At 41.8% G+C, this 22,266-nt stretch overlaps 1 long non-coding RNA gene across 5 annotated transcripts in view, besides 1 other annotated feature; it reads right to left on the reverse strand.

Moving 5' to 3' along the window:
• Nucleotides 1–22,266, reverse strand: part of LINC01331 (long intergenic non-protein coding RNA 1331) — a 209,330-nt gene that overhangs the window by 94,838 nt on the left and 92,226 nt on the right. The window lies entirely within an intron of this gene.
• Nucleotides 11,457–11,546: an enhancer, noted in NCBI's record as "active region_22665". NCBI's record gives its function as "activates an Ori minimal core promoter by ATAC-STARR-seq in GM12878 lymphoblastoid cells {active_cell/tissue: GM12878}" and the evidence as "EXISTENCE:reporter gene assay evidence [ECO:0000049][PMID:35858748]".

A 22,266-nucleotide genomic window follows, 5' to 3' on the forward strand; every position in this document is an offset into this window, starting at 1 on the left:
TATCTTCTAACTATGGACTTGGAGGTTATTGCTCCACTTTAACCAGTCAAATATTTTCTTTGCCTTGCCTCCTAGTTTTGCTTATAAAAACCTCGCCCAACCCCTCTTCGTTGGAGCCCCAAACTATCTGCATCCTGGAGCTGCCTGATTCATGAATCCCAATCTGTTCAAATAAACTCTTCAAAATTTTAATATGCCTCAGTTTATCTTTTAACAGGGATAATAATAATAATACCTACCTCATATGTTTTAAACAAAGGAAATAGCAGTGTATCAGAAGGTTAAAAAAGAAATGATATAATAAAAACACTTAGCTGGGCTAATAGATATAACTTAGTACCATGATTGATATTTAGCAATATTTCAAATGCTACTAGAGGAGTTTTTCATTGCTCCAAGCTAACCTCCACTTCCATGTTATCAGGAAAAGGCCCTGTCAAATACATCATCTTTGCTCAGGGACAGCATGTCTTCCCTTTATCCCATCAGGCCAATCTGAGTCATATGAACAACCCAGAGAGAAACCACAGGGTCCTCTTCCTCCCCGTTCTGGGTCTAACAACAACAGCCCCGGGTAGGAAACTCATGGGATCTCCACCTTCCAGCCTCATGCGACTGTCTGGTTTTTCAGAGACAAGGTGTCTCCAACGTAAAACCACAGGACCCCAGCACTACCCACACCACCCACCTGTCCCAAAGAGAAAGCATATGCATGACATCACTTCCTGTTCTCCTCTTTTGGGTTCCCATCCATTTTCTCCTAGAAGAGGCCAGAGTTCAGGCTTTGTGTGCAGGAGTTAGGGAGGAATGTTGGCAAAAAAGAAAAAGCTGGGGCTGGGGGTTGACCCCACACCCTCCCTGTCTTTTCTGTTTTCAGATAACTTTGACCAATCATTTACTTGCCAACTCCCTACACCTCCCCCTACATCTCCCATTATATATTCTTGTAGCCACCTACAATCCTTGTCTGAAGACATTACAGTATGGTAGGACAGATAGGGTTTTATTTGGCTTTTTTTGGCTTTTTATTTTTTTGCATCATTGGATGACACAAAAAGTGAAATAAACGGTACTGGGGTGCATGAATTGCAAAACAAAAGCAAAGAAAGACAAAGAAAGAAAGAAAGAAGGGGAAATAAGGAAGAAAGGAAGGAGGGAAGGAAGGAAGGAAAAAAGGGCGGTAAGGGCAGAGGAGGAAGGGAGGCAAGGGGAGGAGAAGAGAGGGGAAGGGATGGGGGAAAGGAGGGGAAGGGAAGTGAAGGAAAGAAAAGGGAAAGGGAGAGGGGAAGAGGAAGGGAAGTGGAGGGGAAAGGAAGGGAAGGGAAGGAAAGAGGAGGGAAGGGGAAGGGAAGAATAAGAAGGTCCATGTACTAGGCTGTTCTCTCATTGCTATAAAGAGATACCTGAGACTGGGTAATCTATAAGGAAAAGAAGTTTAATTGGCTCATGGTTCTGCAGACTGTACAGGAAGCCTGATGCTAGCATTGCTTGGCTTTTGGGGAGGCCTTAGGAATCTTACAATCATGGTGGAAGGCGAAGGGGATGCAGAAATATCACTTGGCAAGAGCAAGAGAGTGAGGGGGGAAATGCTTTAAACACACCTTTTAACAATCAGATTTCATGAGAACTCACTCACTGTCATGAGGACAGTACCAAGACGGATGGTGCTAAACCATTCATGAGAAATCTGCCCCCTTGATCAAATCACTGCCCACCAGGCCCCACCTCCAACACTGAGGATTAAAATTTAACATGAGATTTGGGTGGGGACACAGATCCAAACCCTATCAGTTGGACACTTCAAAATAATTTCAATTTGATATTTCAAAACTGTTCCCAATTAGTCATCAGAGCAAAAATACTAGAATCTCGTTGAAGTTCCTTATACAGTTTTTATGGTTTAATATTGTTTTCATTTAAAATTATATTAGAGGAGGTGATTCCATTCTCAGCATGCCTGCACCCCAAATTAGAAAAAAGTAGATAACCTCAATTGACCTGGGAAGACCTGGAAGGTATCGTGTGGACCACTTCAAACCCTTACTGTACCATTGTAGGCAGGCAAAATGACTCACTAGAAATCACCCTATAAGTCCGCCAAGTGCTCAGGGCATCTGCCCATCAAATCTGTATTCATTTCACCCATACTCTTATTCTCAGGACAAGCAGGTGGTGTTTGTTTTTCAAAAATTCAACACAAATATCAGCCACAAAAATTACCTGAACGAAGAGGAATCCAACTGCTTACTTTGTTTGAATCGAAGCTCTCTTTCAGAGTGCTTGGTACCTGGAGGTCACATACTTCCTATGTGAAGTAAAGGATCCCAAGACAAAAAGTGTTATTCAATATGTGTGGATGAATTGCAAAATCTCGGTTACCTGGCACAACTACAAGGAGTTGCCACAGTCAGCAAGCTTATTGGGTAACTTTTGCAAATACTCATTTGACTCATTAAGCATGTTTTCTTTTGTATATTAGTGTGCAAAAGTCACAGGAAAAAATTACTTAGTAGGAGTGTGTCCTTGAGTGCTGTTTAAATAAGATTTTCTCACCATTACTTGGAAAGAAGAAGACACATAAATGAAAACTATATTAATAGACAATCTCCTCCAACAATTTTTGCACATCTTTTGTTTTTTTTAATGCAGATTCTTGACCAAAAAGTGAATATAAATAGTGGAAAAACCACAAAACTGCAATTTCCATGTTATACTTATAATATATGTCTTATTGTGGTAAAATATACATAGCATAATTTTTACCACTTTAACCATTTTTTTTTGAGACAGGGTCTCACTCTGTTGCCCAGGCTGGAGTACAGTGGCACAACCACAGCTCATTGCAGCCTTGGCCTCCTGGGCTTAAGTGCTCTTCCTGCTTCAGCCTCCCAACTAGCTGGGACCACAGAGGCACGCCACCACAGCCAGCTAATTTTTTATTTTTTCTAGAGATGAGGTCTTGCTATGTTGCCCAGAGTGGTCTCAAATTCCTGGCCTCAAGTGATCCTCTCACACTGGCTTCCCAAAGTACTGGGATTACAGGCATGAGCCACCCATTTTAATCATTTTTAAGTGTACAATTCAGTGACATTAAGTAGATTCACATCATTATGCAACTATCACCACCACTCATCTCCAGAACTTTTTTGTCTTCCCAAACTAAAAGTCTGCACCTATGAAATAATAACTTCACATTCTCCCCTTCTCCAGCCCCTGGTAAATACCATTCTAATTCTTGTCTCTAAGGATTTGACTCTTCTGGGTATCTCATATAAATAAACTCACACAATATTTGTCTCTTCATGTCTGGCTAACTTTAGTTAGCATAATATCTTCAAGTTTAATCCACAATGTAGTGTGTATCAAAATTTGATTCCTTTTTAAGGATGAGTAATATTTTATTGCATTACATTTTGTTTCTCCATTTAAACATTGTTATCTGTGTCTGCTGATGGACATTTGGATTGTTTCCACCTTTGGTTGTTGTGAATAATCCTGCTATGAACATGGGTGTACAGATACCTGCCAAGTCCCTGCTCTCAATTTTTGGGGTATATGCCCCCCATGTTATTCTAATTTCTTTATTGAAATGCCTTCCTCTATCCAAGATGACCATTCTTTCAACCTAGTATGCATTTTTGAGAGCTGTTGTTAGCCTGGTGACAGAGAGAGTGGGCAGCTCCCCATCTCCATCCACTAAGCCAACTCTGGCAAATCAGTAGTTGCAAGACAAGAGTTGCAGCCTGAACACACTTGTGTTCTTTTTTTAATACTTCTTTATTTTATAAATTTTTAAATGTCTATGGCTTCTTTGAAAAAGAGGGAGGCTGTCTTCACCATGAGAATGTACGGGATGAAATAGCAATTCAGTAGCAGGAGAAAAATGGCCACCCTGTGTGGAGAAAGAAGTCTCAGGACCACCCATGGCTGCTGGGGAAGACTGAAGGGAGCTCCTTTGATAAACAAAGATATCCAGGATGGAGAGTAAGTGAAGAAATGAAATAGAGGACAGACAGGATTCATGTAGGAGTGAGGACCAGGCCTTCTTTAGGATCCTGAGGCACAGGAACCCAAGAGTTGCTGATACAGAGTAGCCAAAATTGTGGAATTTACAGTGCGGCCTCTAGGGAAACTTGGCCAAGGCCATAGAGGGAAGATAGGAAGCAGATCCCTAGTGAAAACCCAGCTTCCATTAAAATATCTCCCATGGAGAGGACAAGTCTCACAAGAACTTGGCCACAAACTGAAGAGGTGCAACCAGCATCCAGACAGAAAAGACTCTCCTTGCCCCAGAGATCAGTGAGCATCTGAAGGCTGGATCAAAGCCCAGACCTAGAGAGCAGATGTTAAATGGAGTCTCCAGAAGGCCTCTAGCCCCAAGAGACCCAGCACAGAGCATTAAAGGTGGATCAGTACACGTGGGGATCATTCCAGCAAATAGGCTGTGTGAACTCAACAAGACTTGGCAAAGACCTTGCCTGAGCTGGTCATCTCAGAGGGCCTCACAGCCCATCCAGGCTCAGTCACCCACAGGAGCCAACTGTTCATGCCAGATTTCAGTGTAAGGGAAGAAAAGGAGAAAAGAAAATGGCTGGAACCAAGGAGTTCTGAAATAAAAGGACATTTCCTTGCATTCTCTCATAAGCCATTTTCACCTTCATTTGGTATCTTCAAAGAGTGACACCCAGATCTTACCAAGCGGGAGCAGCAGACACGATTCCCTTTGATCCATGTGATCCTTTTCATCCATTTGAAAATCCTTCATGTGGCATCGATTTGATTAGTTCACATTATTAACCCATGATTGTGTTCTTACTTCATACTCAGCTCTGCACCCAGAACTGAGACACAAAAAGGGCCAATTCCCTGCCCTCCCTAACCTCAGGGAGCTTACATCTAGTGAGGAAACAAAAAATTAAAGGGACAGTTACACAAAAGAATGACCAGGGCTACAAGAGAAAAAAGTTTGGGGTGAATTAAAGGCACAGAGAAGTTTGTAACGCAGGAGCAATATGTAACCCAGAGGATCAGGACCACTCAATATGTTTTTGTTAGTTCCCTCTTGCTGCTTAAATGACTTAAAACAATACGACTTTATTATCTTAGACTTCCGAGGGTCAGAAGTCCAAAAATAGATCTTAAGGGACTAAAACCAAGGTGTCCAGTGCTGACAGGACTGCATTCCTTCGGAAGGCCCTGCAGAGATTTTGTGCCTTTGTCAGTTTCTGGAGGCCATCTGCTGCTTTGGCTCAGGGCCTCCTTCCAGTGATGGCATCACTCTGACCTCTGCTTCTACCATCACACCTCCTTCTCTCCCCTGCTCTCATCATCTTCTGATTCTGACACTCCTACCTTCCTTTTAGAAGGATCCTTATAAGATGCTTACATTGGGCCCACCCAAATAATCTGTGATCTATCTCCAATCTCCCATCTCAAGATCTTTAACGTGATCACACCTGCAAAGTCCCTTTGACCTGTAAGATAAAATATTCACAGGTTTCAGGGATCAGGACATGGCCATCTTGGCAGGGGCAGTGGGTTAAGGGGAGTAAGGAGTTGGAAGGTGGCATTATTCTGTCTACCATGTAGTTAATTCCTTTAAAAAAAAAAAAAAAACCCCTTTGCGGCCGGGCGCGGTGGCTCACGCCTGTAATCCCAGCACTTTGGGAGGCTGAGGCGGGTGGATCACGAGGTCAGGAGATTGAGACCATCCTGGCTAACACAGTGAAACCCCGTCTCTACTAAAAATGCAAAAAATTAGCCGGGAGTGGTGGCGGGCGCCTGTAGTCCCAGCTACTGGGGAGGCTGAGGCAGGAGAATGGGGTGAACCCGGGAGGCAGAGCTTGCAGGGAGCAGATATCGCACCACTGCATTCCAGCCGAGGTGACAGAGCGAGACTCCGTCTCAAACAAACAAACAAAAAATCCTTTGCGTGAATAGATTGTATCATTATTATCCCTGTGAAAAGGTTTTTTTTTCTTCATCTCCCCCTTTTATTTTATCAAAGAAATAACTCATAAATCTTTATCTTCTGAAAACTAGCCACAAATCATCTAAATTATATGTTAACATTATATGGATAACATCAAACATCAGAGGCCTTCTATACCGCCTCTGCTTCTTTTACCATTTCTAATTTCTCCAAAATGTTCCCATGGCAGATGACTCTGATTCTCACATGCTGATCTTCTCATATTCCAGTCCCTTTTTCTCTTATGGTGGAATCCCATAAGCAGACTCAACTTTTCACAAACTGATAACACGAAGTAGTCAATTTCACTTTATGAGTTAGGTATAGGAATAGAATTCAGAATTATTTCCAGAAATTATTTCTTGGTATCTATAAAATCATGTGTTGAAAGTCTACAGTCCTCTATCATAATTGTATTTATATCACTGTGGTGTGTGAGGGGAAAAAAGGAAAAATGTAATCTAAACTGGAACCAAGAAGTCGTTTCACCCAAGATTAACCCAAGATTACACAGATTATTAATGGTATGACCTGGTCAAAACCCACAGCCTCTGGACTCCAGAACAAGTGCTCTTTGCCCTAGCCACACTATTCTGCCATTCTTCTCTTTCAGATTAAAAAAAAAATTTGGTAGAAATTTACACATTAATGATACACATTAATGACTTCAAATACTTGTCCTAATTGTCCTCTTTATTAAAAAGCTCCCACCACTAGTCCTGACTGGTGTTCCATAAAGGGTCCTTCCTGCTGGTTGATGTTTGACTCTGTGAAATATAAACAAGTTTCAACAAGAGGACAGAGAATTTGTAATCAACACACCTTGGCTCCTGTTCAGAACGACCATGCCTGTCACTTGATATTTTTGCAGGAAATGGATATTGGAAAGAAATATCACACTTCATTTAAAAGCAGAACAACAGATGTAGGGGCAATGGTGTCAATGAGAATCAGTTACGTATCTGATGAAAGTCTTTGTGAATCTCAAATAATAACAATATGGCAATCCTTTTACTTCTCTTTAGAATTCCCCAGGACCCTCCTCCAAACCCCCTCCCTATTTCATCTCTTCGTCACAGCCAGATGGCCTCAGCAGCTACTGTGCAGAGGACACCAACACTGTCCCTCACCAGCTACCTTCACATTCCTCCTTCCCACCTCGAAAACACTTTTACCCTCACTCAGCTCCTCTCCCTTTCCCTCAGTGACAACCCCTCTTTTTTGGATATCGTGCCTTTGCTCAGCTGGCTGCTTCCCCTTGATCTACTGGTACGTTGAAATCCCAACTACTCAGCATAGTGTGCAATGCAACTCATAAGTGCCTCCCAAGTCAATGCTACGCTTATAGTGTTCTCCAATCCAGCTGTGAAGCTCACTGAGATCCCCCCATTCCTTTGCACCCACTGTTTTCTCTGCCTGGAAGGCCATTCCTCCATTTTTTGCCAGAAAACTCCTAATCATCCCTCAAAGCCTAGCTCAGCATTGACCTCTGTGATGCTGTTCCCAACCATCGGCCATCTTCAGTGAAAGTTAATGATAGATAGAGGCAGACAAGGGTGGGTCCCTGGCGAAACCCCACCATCAAGCCAAAAAGCCTGAAACCCACAGCCTGAAGTGGGAACTTCTATCCCTGTTTGCCCACTCTCTCCTGATTGGTTCTTTCTGGCCTAGAACTCCTGACCTCAGGTGATCCACCCAACTCGGCCTTCCAGAATGCTAGGATTATAGGTGTGAGCCACTGCACCCAGTTGGTTCTTTCTGAATAATGTCTTTTTACCAATCAAATTTTGCCTTTTCCAAAACTACCTATGGCCTGCCCCACCTCCTATCCTGTGCCTATAAAGACCCCAGACTCAGTAGTAGAGAGGGAGAAGTGGCTTGACTGGAGAGAGGTGACTTGACTTCAGAGCGACGGCTAGACTTCAGAGGAGAGACAGCTTAACTTCAGAGAAGAGCCATGTGGAGACAGCCAGACTTCAGGGAAGATTACCTGCCCATCCTGTCCCCTCTCCAGCTATCCCCTCTCTACTGAGAGCCACTTCCATCACTAAAAAAAAAAAAAATTCTCTGCCTCCACCATCCTTCAAGTTTCCATGCAACCTAATTCTTCTTGGGCACTGGACAAGAGCTCAGGACCCACCAAGTGTGGGTACTCAAAAAAGGTTGTCACACTGGCCCTTTGCCCTTGCTGGCAGAGGACAGCCACCCAACGTGATGAGGCAAGGGGCCCACTGAGCTGATAACACACTGCTGTCCACAGATGGCAGAGCTAAGAGATCATCGTAACACACCCTCTGGGGCTTCGGCGGTCACAGGCATCCCCATCTGGGCACCACCATGGGGCCACATGGAACCTGCTCCTGCCAGCACCCAAAGCATCCAGCCAGATCCTGCACTCGCTTGCTAATGCACTCCCTCCTGCAAAAGGTTGAGCACAGTGGGCCTGGTAAATGGACCACCCCTGTAGCAAGTCCGATGAAGGGGTCAAAAAAAATTCCTGCATCATTAATACTCTCTGCCCTGTGTGGCAAGAGCCCCAGGCTTTCCTCTCCCAGAGCTTTTAACACATGACATTAGCCTTGTCTGTTCACCTCTCAGACTTCCTCAAAAAGTTCCCAGACTGAGAGCTCTTTAAGAGCAGAGATTGCTCCTTTTATGTCTAAATCCTCAGCACTTAGCACAGTCCTTACTAGTAGACACCCAATAAATGTTTGTTGAGTGATTGAAAGTCCAAATCTTTCTATTAAAAGAAAGAAATTAAAAAGAAAAAACGATCACTTTGCTGTCTTCTGGAACAGCTATCTAACCAAACTTCCCAAACCCAGTTGGCACCATGTACAAGCTGATTTCTGTTGCCAGCCTACCCCTGGATCTGCTTTATTGACCTCGATTATTTCCTCATCACTTAGCTAACTGACTGCTCCTCATTCCCCACTCTCCTTTCCCCCTCTGCAGCATCTGATGGCTTTATTTTTAAGTTTTGAGCTGGTCCATTTTCCTCTTCCACCATCTCATCCACCCTCTTTGTCTCAGCAATAATTTGTTTTCTCAGCTCCTCATTTGGTTATTTTCTAAAAGTGCTAGTCACAGCCACTCTCCAAAAGCTCTCAGTAGCTGGCTGATGGACCATTGGTCAATGGAAAGCAGCATCCTTACGCCAGTTTCTGGAAACTAGACAGCAATTAAATGAAGCAATGTGCATAAAGCACTTAGCAGTGCCTTAGACACTTACTGAGTGTTGTCATACCTCCATCCTGGGCAAACTGGCCTTCAAACTGGCCATCCCTCTTCCCATTTATCTTCGCTTGAATTCTGAGCACCACTGCTATAATGACATTCCTAATGCAGAGTGCCAATAAAAAGGAGGGGTTCCCAAATATCCATCCACAGCAAAATGAGAAAGATAAAAACAGTGCAGTGACCTTTCATCACATTACTTATATTCAACTCAAGGCTTTGCTCTTTATTGAGACTATGTACTTCTGCTTTCTGTGTTAAAATGCCCTTTTTATAATGAAACAATGGCAATTTTGTTTTGTTTCTTATTTCAGTATCTTTATTTGGGAAAATAGTTCACAACCATAAATGGCCTACATTTTGTATTTTGGAAACTATATTATCTAGTCTGTTACTCTGGATTTCTACAAGGGACCAAGTAATCCCATTCCTACATTCTTTTCACATTGATAAGAATGAAGAGTTTACTAACACATATAACATTTTAAAAGTAAGATATAGGCAGAGACCCCCCCAAAAAATGTTTATGATAGTAAAGACCTATTTGAGATGTTCACAGCCCTATTTCTTTTATATTTGTTTATTCACACATTTCAATGTCTTAATGGTTATTTGCCGTTAGTTTGCCTTTAGTTTTATAGGCACATGCATACTAATAGTGACTGTCATCAAACACATACACATACACACACACACACACACACACACACACTTTAAAGCAGGCAATTAATCATTTTCTCCCTCAAGACCGTATTTTACAGTCGGAAGCCAATTGTCAGCACATATGCTCCTAAATAAACTGACACACATACCAGCTAATAGATTAATTCGCATGAAGAAGGCGTCGTGGGAAGAAAACCTGTGTTCCCAGATTTCTCAGGCAGGTGCTCTGCCTGTTAACATAAAGATCAGTCCTCCTGGCTCCAACCCCTTAGGCAGTGTGCCCAAAATTACTTATGGTTTCTAACACAGTTGATGCCAATGCAGTTCTGCAATTGAGAGCCTGGTTTACACAACGTATCCTAAGAACAGCTCAGCTCAGGAGCAGCCAGTGTAGACTTTTTGTATGCTGGTGGGGGGGCGTTGGGGAGGAATTGTTTGTTTGTTTTGTCTCACATGTGGCTTTTCTAATAGAAGACAATCATGAAGCAATAATTCATGCCTTAATATTTCTTTGCAGCTATCACCCATTGTTCTTCATAGCCCTCCCATAAGTGGGTGATGTTATGGGTCCTGAGGAAATGGAGACCTATTGGGATGAATTTGTTCAGAAGAGAGAAGGCTTGCACACACGTGTGCATTCTCACAGGCACGCACTCTCTCGCACCACCCTCAGCACTCAGAGCTCTGCTAGTATCCCTTTCCCCTTTCTGACTTTGTATCTCTTAAGCCAGTCTTTTATCCCATGCACTGTGCCTCAGTGGAAAGTTCAGCTTCTCTATAAAACAACTTATTAAGGGAAGGATCACTATAGAGCTTCCTCAGAGCTCCAGAAAAGATAAGCTGACGGTCTGCTTTTCTTTTTCACCAAATCACCCTTCTCAGAGTATTAATGCAAAGAATAGCATGGAGGAGTGGGGAAGGAGGTAGGAGAACATATACATGACACAATTATTAGACTTCCAAAATCCTGTAAAAAAAAAATCTATCAATAGTATTCTGTGTTAGTTTTAGCTTTCTTAAATAAGCATCATCCATGCTCTTTTCCAAACAGGATTCACAAAAATGCTAAATGCATTTGCTGCAGACCAGTTCTGGGTCCTCAATGAAGAGTGGTTGGCAGTCAGGCTAGGGCTGCTCCTGGGAAATGCTGGAAGGGCCGGATGCTCCCCTGAGGAGTCTGTTCCCCCAGATCAGCCTAGAGGTCCAGTAGAATGGTTGCGTCCCAGCAGGATGTGACTCTTTGTTCTACCTATTCCTCTATTGTGACCCTTCAAAAATCCTACCTGTTTTCAAAGACATCATCCTCATTGTTCGTAACCCCCACCACCAACAACAAAAAAGCCAGATTGAGGCACCCGCTGACAAAGCAACTCTCTTGTTCTGGCACCTTAAGAAGGAAATGAGTTTACTTCCCTTCTGTAACTGAAGCAAAGCCTTCCCTCCCCGCTGTGGATATGGTACCACTCTGTAGCACGTTTCCTTCAGAGAGTCAGCTTTTCTGAACAATGACCCAACTGTTTGTACAGTATGGGAAACTATCTCTTGATAGAGTTTGGTGCACACCCTCCTACGAACCCAGACATGCACAAAAGTTCCACATTTCACCACAGGAAGTAAGACTGGTCAGGCTTCAGGCATCATTAATCATTTTGAAGTGATTATTCTTAAAAAGAAAAAAAAAAAAAACAGGGATGCAGCTTGAGTTAAGTCATGCCCAATAAAAATCAGCACTTCTCCTCAAAATTACATTTCTCTACTTCCGTGTGGAAAGTTAAGAGCTCCCTGTACTGACAAGAGCTGGGGTGAAATCGAGAATCTTCGTCTCTTTAATTGGAGCACAGACAAATACTTGGGATCTGACATGGTCAGATGGGGAAGAGGTGGGTGGAGTTTTACTTCCTTTGCCTTTCGGCTCAGAAATACACACATTTAGGAGGAAGATAAAGCAAGAACAATTTGGGATTTTGTTCCGGGAACTTCATTTTCCCCCATTGAAATGCCATTAAACAAAGCTTAGGACAATCCTGCTACGTGCACTCATTTAGCCACGGGAACTATGGAGTGCCCCACCCCCCATCCCCATCACTGAGGCCCTGCAGCCCAGCAGGCAAGGGCCAGAGAACAATTTAATTCCCCAGATAGGCTGCCCCACACAGAGGTTCCTCATCAAGGGAGTAGCACCAGCCCACTCTGCAAATCTGTTCACCCTGCAGGAAACACCTCCTTGTCTGCTTCTTTGAAGTAAAACTGTTTCTCTAGCATGGGAAAAGGGATAAGTAGAAAATGAAATCTCCAACTCTGTCTTTCCTGAAAGATTACATTTCCTGCTATCCTGGTTCAGGAGGAAATTCACTTACATAAAATTAGATTAATTTTCTTTCTGACGTCACCTGGTCTACCAGAAGCATCTTTTGTCCATTGCCTCTTTTTGAAACCTTGGCCATGTCCCCAGTCCTCAGTCATTCCTTAATCAGAACATCTGGTTCTCAAGTCAAGATTAAAAATCATAAAATAAAGGCAGAAAAGAGGCTGCCTCTTCTGTCCTTGTTCCGCATTGCCTCCTTCACCCTAGTCTTGCATAATCACTATGTAGATGCCAGCCCAGAAGGCAGCATCATCTTCACTTCCTTCCTCATCAGCCAACTGCTACATATCCCAGCTAAGCCCTAGTATTTGTTTTAATTTAAAGGGTTAAAGTGGAAAAGAAGAGAATCAACAAACTTTATTTTAGTACTCTAATCTACCTATTTTAAAATGTAATACATGTTATTAAATAGATTTGGGCTTGGGTTGTTTTTTTTTTTCCCAGAGTTTAGTTGCTTAAACTCATTTTGTATCTACCCAAGTGGATCCTTTTAAAAATCTGCTAGGAGTCAGATTGAAAATGACTGACAGAAAGCCTGAGCAGGGTGAGAAATGGGTTCACATGGGATGGTGGCCTGGCATGGGGTTTGGAGCCCAAGCCAGGTAAGTGGGGTATCCACAGGGAGACATAAGCCAGAGTGCAAATGCAGCAAGGAAGGAGCTGGGAGTATGAGGTGTTGGAATCCAGGCAGCTACAATAGAAGAGGAGCTGCAAGGAGTAGGGGGCAGCAACAGAGCTGGGAGATGGGTTACATATAGGAGGATGGATCAGTTAAGTAGATATTTTAGGGATAACAGAAAGGGAGAAAATTAGAATGAACCCTGTGTATTGTTGCATTGGAATTGGATATTGATGTGAATGAATAGTTTTCAATATACATACATAAATATAGAAATAAATATAGTTCTGTCCATGGCTAGGACCTGGGAGCAATGACATCACAGTGGCAATGAGCGCACCTAGTGCCCAGATATTCACAGTATTCTAAATACTCTTCTCCACTAAAGGAAATTCAGGCTACTTAGAGAAACAGCTGATTTCAAACCTGGAAGAAAGTGTAAGATGAGTACAACTTCTCATCATGCCAAAAAGCAAGGAAGATGAGGTAGAAATAAACAAGAGTTTATGTGATGAATTACGTTTATTGATTTGCGTATGTTGAACCAGCCTTTCATCCCAGGGTGAAGCCGACTTGATCGTGGTGGATAAGCTTTTTGATGTGCTGCTGGATTCGGTTTGCCAGAATCTTATTGAGGATTTTCGCATCAATGTTCATCAGGGATATTGGCCTGAAATTTTCTTTTTTTGTTGTGTCTCTGCCATGTTTTGGTATCAGGACAATGCTGGCCTCATAAAATGAGTTTGCAAGGAGTCCCTCTTTTTCTATTATTTGGAATCATTTTAGAAGGAATGATACCCAGCCCCTCTTTGTACCTCTGGTAGAATTTGACTGTGAATCCATCTGGTCCTGGACTTTTTTTTGGTTGATAAGCTGTTGTTTACTGCCTCAATTTCAGAACTTGTTATTGGTCTATTCAGGGATTCGATGTCTTCCTAGTTTAGTATTGGGAGGGTGCAAACAGAACCAATGACAAAAACCACATGATTATCTCAATAGATGCAGAAAAGGCCTTCGATAAAATTCAACACCCCTTCATGCTAAAAACTCTCAATAAATTAGGTATCGATGGAACGTATCTCAAAATAATAAGAGCCATTTACTACAAACCCACAGCCAATATCATACTAAATGGGCACAAGCTGGAAGCATTTCCTTTGAAAACCGGCACAAGACAAGGATGCCCTCTCTCACCACTCCTATTCAACATAGTATTGGAAGTTCTGGCCAGGGCAATCAGGCAAGAGAAAGAAATAAAGGGTATTCAAATAGGAAGAGAGGAAGTCAAATTGTCTCTGTTTGCAGATGACATGATTGTATATTTAGAAAACACCATCGTCTCAACCTCAAGTCTCCTTAAACTGATAAGCAACTTCAGCAAAGTCTCAGGACACAAAATCAATGTGCAAAAATCACAAGCATTCCTATACACCAATAATAGACAAACCAAGAGCCAAATCATGAGTGAACTCCCATTCACAATTGCTACAAAGAGTAAAATACCTAGGAATACAACTTACAAGGGATGTGGAAGGCCTCTTCAAGGGGAACTACAAACCACTGCTCAAGGAAACAAGAAAAGACACAAACAAATGGAAAAACAGTCATGCTCATGGATAGAAAGAATCAATATAGTGAAAACGGCCATACTGTCTAAAGTAATTTATAGATTCAATGCTATCCCCCAACAAGCTACCATTGACTTTCTTCACAGAACTAGAAAAAACTGCTTTAAATTTCATATGGAACCAAAAAAGAGCCCATATAGTCAAGACAATCTTAAGCAAAAAGAACAAAGTTGGGGCATCACACTACCTGACTTCAAAGTATACTACAAGGCTACAGTAACCAAAACAGCATGGTACTGGTACCAAAAAAGATATATAGACCAATGGAACAGAAGAGAGGCCTCAGAAATAATGCCACACATCTACAACTATCTGATCTTCAACAAACCTGACAAAAACAAGCAATGGGGAAAGGATTCCCTGCTTAATAAATGGTGCTGGGAAAACTGGCTAGCCATATGCAGAAAACTGAAAATGGACCCCTTCCTTACACCTTATACAAAAATTAATTCAAGATGGATTGAAAACTTACATGTAAAACCTAAAACCATGAAAACCCTAGGAGAAAATCTGGGCAATATCATTCGGGACATAGGCATGGGCAAAGACTCCATGACTAAAACACCAAAAACAACGACAACAAAAGCCAAAATTGACAATGGGATCTAATTAAACTAAAGAACTTCTGCATGGCAAAAAAAACTATCATCAGAGCAAACAGGGAACCTACTGAATGGGAGAAAATGTTTGCAATCTATCCATCTGACAAAGGGCTAATATCCAGAATCTACCAAGAACTTAAACAAATTTGCAAGAAAAAAACAGCCCCATCAAAAAGTGGGTGAAGGATATGAACAGACACTTCTCAAAAGAAGACATTTATGCAGCCCACAAACATTAAAAAAGCTCATAATCACTGTTCATCAGAGAAATGCAAATCAAAACCACAATGAGATACCATCCCACGCCAGTTAGAATGGCGATCATTAAAAAGTCAGGATATAACAGATGCTGAAGAGGATGTGAAAAAATAGGAAGGCTTTTACACTGTTGGTGGGAGTGTAAATTAGTTCAACCACTGTGGAAGACAGTGTGGCAATTCCTTAAGGATCTAGAACCAGAAATACCATTTGACCTAGCAATCCCATTACTGAGTATATATAAAGGATTATAAATCATTCTACTATAAAGACACATGTACATGAACGTTTATTGTAACACTGTTAACAATAGCAAAGACTTGGAACAAACCCAAATGCCCATCAATGATAGACTGGATGAAGAAAATGTGACACATATACATCATGGAATACTATGCAGCCATAAAAAAGGATGAGTTCATGTCCTTTGCAGGGACATGGATAAAGCTGGAAGCCATCATTCTCAGTAAACTAACACAGAAACAGAAAACCAAGCACCACATGTTCTCACTCATCAGTGGGAGTTGAACAATGAGAACACATGGACACAGGGAGGGGAACATCACACACCAGGGCCTATCAGGGGGTAGGGCGGTAGGGGATGGATAGCATTAGGAGAAATACCTAATGTAGATGACAGGTTGATGGGTGCAGCAAACCACCATGGCACATGTGTACCTATGTAACAAACCTGCACATTCTGCACATGTTTCCCAGAACTTAAAGTATAATTTTTAAGAAAAAAGAAATAAATAAACAAGAATGAGGTAGAAATGCCAAGAGGACACAGAGGCCCGCTTGACTAGTCTCCACTGGCCAAATCAGGGATAATTTGAGCATCAAAAAATTATAATAGCAACAGATTATAACCCATTGAATAAAATAGTCTATTCTGAAATGAATAAACAAACAAATTGAAAGCTTGATGAGGAACAGAATATTTACATAGTTTCAAAATACCTCTCCCACAAAATGCTTATAAATTACAAAAGAGAAAAGAATAGCTTTGCAGTGGGGAAGCCTGGCACACACTATCCTAATCAAGTGATCACAATGACCAACATTAGCTGAGAACAATGTAAAATCTTGTGCTATCTGTTAAGACACCATGAATAGAACACAGAATCACTCCTCTCTTATTTCTGCCAAAAAAAGCACAACCTAAATCTAATCATGAAAGAACATCGGACAAACCCAAATTGAAGCACATTCTACAAAATATCTAGCCAGTATTTCAAACGTGTGAAGGTCATGCAAATCAAGGGAAGACTGAGGATGTGGTAGTCTAGACTCAATGAGACTGAAGAGATATCACAACATAATTCAACATGTAATTTCAACCTGGATCCTTTTGCTATAGAAAACGTTGCAAGGACAAGTGTTGAAACTTGAATGGAGTTGGAGGATTAGATGGTAATAATGTGCCCCTGTGACTGTCCTGATTTTGGAAATTGTATTGTGGTTATGGAGGAGAATATTTTTATTTGTAGGAAGGACACTCTAAAGTACTCTGGAATGATGGGCATTCTGTGACACTTACTCTCACATGTGTCGAGAAAAAAACTTTATTTATATTGCACTTCATACTTTTTCATAAGTTTATCACTGTTGCAAGTATTTTAAAAATCTAATTAACAAAGAAAAGGCTGTGAGCTAGCTCATGAGCACCCAGAAGGGCAGAGACCATGAAAATTCATTCTGACCAGTGCCTGGTGCATGTCCAGTCCAGGTGAGTGCTCAAAACATATTTGCTGAATTTAAATGTTTGGAAAACTCTCTGAGATACAGAAGGAGCATAATAAAAGGGCTTCCATCAAGATTTTTGTATTGTATTCTACAAGCACTTGTAGGGTTTACTATGTGACAGACATTGTTAAATATTTTACAAATAGCTCTATGAGATAGACACTATAATATCTCCACCTTACAGAGAAGGAAACTGAAGGACAAAGAGATTATGTGACCTCCCAAAGTCACACAGCTAATGAGTAGTAGAAATAAGAGTTGAGCCCAAGTGTGGCAGGGGAGGGGGGGAGCTGCAGAGCCACTTTCCCAGGCTGCCTTTCCAAGATTCCACTGGCAGAAAATTAAATTTTTTAACATCTTTCCCATTCAAAATATTTGGTTCTTGATTATAAAATTGCATTCTGTATATTCTAAATTTACAAGATAATGCCATATTTCTTATTTCATAATGGATGGAACCAACCTGAAAGAAGCCATTCAGAGCTAAGTACTCATCTTTGTGAGCAGTGCTGGTCACCAGCTTTGGTCTTTACCTAAGTCTTGGTCACCCAAGCATACCTTTAGTTCTTATTATGCCAACCGTAGTTTATGTGGCCCCCATTTTTTTTAGATTTTTATCTCCTATGCACTTCCTTTTCTCCTATTTGCATCAGGATTTTAAAATGGAGTAAATATGTCTGTGACACAGCTAATCTTCCTTGTAGCAAGGAAAGTCTCACTGGCCATCAACCAGGGCCCTACGCTATGACACTGCCCCATTATATTTCTGTCCCTCACAGAAGGGAAATGAGGCATTGACTCAAACACACCTCCTAATGGAATGAATATTTCCATAGCCCCCAATAAAACAATTGAAGATACTCTGCTCCATGCAGCCCTCTCTGCCTCACTTTCTCCCTCCTGTGAGATTCGAAAATACGTTGTTTTACGCTCATGTATGTTGTAGGGAAAAGAAGAATACAATCAACACCAAGGGGAGATGCTCATTAGACTTTCCTTTATAGCAAATGGCTCATAAAGTAAACCCAATAAATAAATATTCTTCTTTATAATTCAGTGTAGCAAGTTACCTAATAAAACTATGATAGGCATGACACGATGAGCTCTAGTTCATGAGCATGGTTTCATGATTTTTGTGGCCTATGATGTTATCACAAAATGTATCACAAGTTTCAGGTAGGCTTAGAGCAAGTTCCATGTTGCCAAATAATTCCTGTTAGCATTTTTATCTTCAAATCATATTTAGTCATAAGAACAACATCTTCCCTTTGCTACATCCCATTTCCAAAAGGGTGAAAGCAGTACAGATGAAACAGGAAGAAGGAAACTTATTTCGTCTTAAGTGGTATTTATTTTTTCTTAAACAGAACTGTAACTTTTTCCTATTCTTCTCTGTGCCAATTTCCAACCATTCAGGTATGATTTCTGCAACAAATAAATGCATATATACATTTTTATGTATATAAATATACGAGTGTATGTCCTCTGCTGTCCTATCCCCACCATAAATTCCTTTCAGTTGCAAAATCACAGTTGCTAATGCTATCAACGCACCACCCGGATCCCCTCACCCGGACCACTTCTGTGCACATCTACCCAAATTTCAACTCCCAGCATGAGTCTTTCTTTACCGAAGAGTGTTTTCTTCTTGCCTAAGCCCACTTTGCTGTTTTGGAGGCAAGCAAAGTATTGTGGAATTAATGTCCCCATGAATAGTCCTCAACTCATGACTAAAAAGAGTTGGTGCTCCCTTGCCCCTCAGGTGGGATGACTTTGAGTGAGTGTTTTCCACACTGGCTGCCAGATCTTCCCCAGAGGGATTAACTCCCAGTCCCTCAGGGTGGTAGCTGGCTTGATGACACTCTCCTTAATGCTTACCTTCTCACTTTCCTGTTTCACTTCCCTACTCTCCTACCATTGTTCCATAAATTAACTGCTTGCACTTTGATCCTTGATTTAGCATCTTCTCCTGGGGAAGTCCCATCTAAGCCAATCACTCTCCAAAGAATACGGAAGTTGACCAGAATCCACAAGACAAGTAGCTGTTCTGTCTTCTATGGCGGAATTGTCAACAATTGTCCACAATTCCCCGATAGAAGAATTTCGAAGCACAATTCATATCCAGGCTTTAATATCTCCTCTTATATCCCTCCTTTCCCCCACCTTCTACCAACATGCAGCATCCCGTTGATAGGCTTTTCCCTCCCCAGTTATCAATAGCCCTTACCGCAAAGTTTTACTTTCCTGTTAATCTATTGTTAGAGATGTCCACTGTTTGTGGCACTGACTCCTGTTTAATTGGCTCTTACAAACAGTGTACTTATTCTTCCTCTGTGAGCGACAGATATAGCCTACCATATGTTTATTTCCACCGGGGTCACCCTGCCATCTGGACGATGGAAGCTTATGCCCAAGGGAGACGGAGCCATAAGCCAATTTACATTAAGACACAGATTCTAGACATACAGTCCAAGTTTGGACACAGAGCTGACTCCAGCTGACAATGCCACCAGACTCTGATTGATTTCACCCACAATACACAGAGGTTTCTGTGTCTCATAGTCAGCGGCAAAGACAGTATCTAGGTTGCTTGACTAATCTGGTTGTTTATTCCCTTGCTGTACTCACCTTTATTTGATTGAAGACACCAAGTTCAGGACAATAGTTAATTGAAGTATATTAAGATGCCATTCCCCCAACCCTCTTTAGTGCTCTCAGGTTTGGCCTGGAAGGGACCCAAAGACACTGTGCCTAGTGGTCAGCATTTTCTTTAGGGCTGTTCTTGGCATTTCCATAATCATTAATATTTTTTAAAGATTAAAGGGCTGGTTACAATCTTAAAAATAGCTTAGCACCAGTTTTTCACAATCTCTCTCACCACCCCTTGCCCCCAAAAACACAATAAAGTACGTGCAGTCTTGATTTTAGTAACCTTCTGTCTGTTGTCCAAAGCAAAATTTCTTCTGCTTTCTCTTATTTTTTTATGACATTGGGTATAGAATGAATTTGTCAGTATTTTCAGCAGTCATCTCTCTTCCCCACCCTGGAGCTTCACATGATATTATGGAAAATGTTTTTTTGGAGCCCAGAAGCAGGAAGGAGTGCCCTGCCCTATGTACAGCCACCATCTGCTGGCTGCACTTTAAGAATCCTTTCTGCTTTGGAGTCTTGTGGTGAGGAATGCCGGTATTCCTTGTGCCTTGGTACCGATAAGATACAGACTCTTACTAGCATCTCATTCTTACCGTCCCACAGACCTTGGCTGCAACACTCTTAGGTAAAGAAAGCCTGAGGCTGGCAGGCTGGAATTTGGGCAGATGAGCACAGAAGTGGTCAGGGTGAGGGGATCCAGGTGGTGTGCTGATAGCATTAGCAACTGTGATTTTGCAAGTGAAAGGAATTTATAGTGAGGATAAGATAGCAGAGGACACACACACAGAGCCAAAGCAGCTTTGTTGATAGGTTTTCATACACACACACACACACACACACACACACACACTTCATTTTTAAAAATTAGCTGGAAACTTTCACAAGCTTTTTCCAAATCTAATCTTAACAAGGACCCTCCAGGGAGTCTTCTGTAGCGTTAAATACATCCTTGGTATCCAGTATAGTACCTGATGTATAGTAAGTGCTCACTAAGTATTTATTTCTTTGTCTATTGATCTACCAATTTACCTATTTAAATGAGACATTAGGGCAATTCAGAAGCATCCAGCAGAAAAATTCCACTCTTCAAAAAAATCAAAAAGAAAATATTTCTTTATGAGAATTGGTATACTAAACAAAATATAGAGTTAATATCTTCCTTTTTCCCCCAAAGCTTGATTTTTTTTTTTTTTTTTTTTTTTTTTGAGGCGGTCTCACCGTATCACCAAGGCTGGAGTGCAGTGGTACGATCTCGGCTCACTGCAACCTCCACCTCCTGGGTTCAAGTGATTCTCCTGCCTCAGCCTCCTGAGTAGCTGGGACTACAGGTGTGTGCCACAATGCCCAGATGATTTTTGTATTTTTAGTAGAGATGAGGTTTCACCATGTTGCCCAGGCTGGTCTCAAACTCCTGACCTCAAGTGATCTGCCCACCTCAGCTTCCCAAAGTGCTGGGATTACAGACATGAGCCATCGTGCCCAGCCAAAGCTTGATTTTTTTAGAGAACTTGTCCTTCAAGCCTGAGGTTAATTTAAGTATATTAAGAAGGCTAAGAAAATACCACTATGTGTTATTTAAAAAATAGTCTAGAAAAAAGACACTTCAGTCCTCTGATGATTTTGTGTGACAATTGAATCAGTGGGCAAGAAAGCTGCACTTCTATAATAAGATGGGAATCTTGCTCTCACAACTCCATGATTATAAGAATCTGGGATTTCTTTGTCTACTCAGCTACTTGGAAAAGAGGAAATATCTATTTGTTTTTGCATCACCTGTGCCTGGCACAATTCTCATGCGTAGCAGGCACTCCATGGAAGTTTGTTGAATGAATGAATGAATGAATTGGTCAGTCATAGGAAATAACCATGTAACCTGTGTCAACAGGTTTTAAGGGCCAAAGCACTTACTTAGACAAAGTGGCTTTTTCATAGACAGTTCTCTCTGATTCTACAGTGGACTTAAAAACCAGCTAGAAGCCGGGCGCGGTGGCTTACGTCTGTAATCCCATCACTTTGGGAGGCCCAGGCAGGTGGATCACAAGGTCAGGAGTTCAAGACCAGCCTGGCCAATATGGTGAAACTCCATCTCTACCAAAAATATAAAAATTAGCAGTGCGTGGTGGCGTGCACCTGTAGTCCCAGCTACTCGGGAGGCTGAGGCAGAAGAATCGCTTGAACCCGGGAGGCGGAGGTTGCAGTCAGCCAAGATCATGCCACTGTACTCCAGCCTGGGCAACAGAGCGAGACTCCGTCTCAAAAACAAACAAACAAAGTAGAACTCTATGAGGAAAGCCTTTAGCCAATGACTGAGGGGTTAGGTGTGTGGATGCCTGAATTCCTGGCCTTAAGTTGGGCACACTCTAGGCCCAACACTCTAGGTCAATCTGGGCTGAACAAACTGACCTGCAAAGTTCCTTTCATGATCAGGTTGAAGCCACTCTCCAAGGAACTTTTCCTGAAATTGCACACTTTCCTGTATTCCTCTTCCCTATCACACTTCTCCCACTCCCATACCAGTTCCTCTT

The sequence above is a fragment of the Homo sapiens genome, chromosome 5 (genome assembly GCF_000001405.40).
Source record: "Homo sapiens chromosome 5, GRCh38.p14 Primary Assembly".
NCBI lineage: Eukaryota > Metazoa > Chordata > Mammalia > Primates > Hominidae > Homo > Homo sapiens.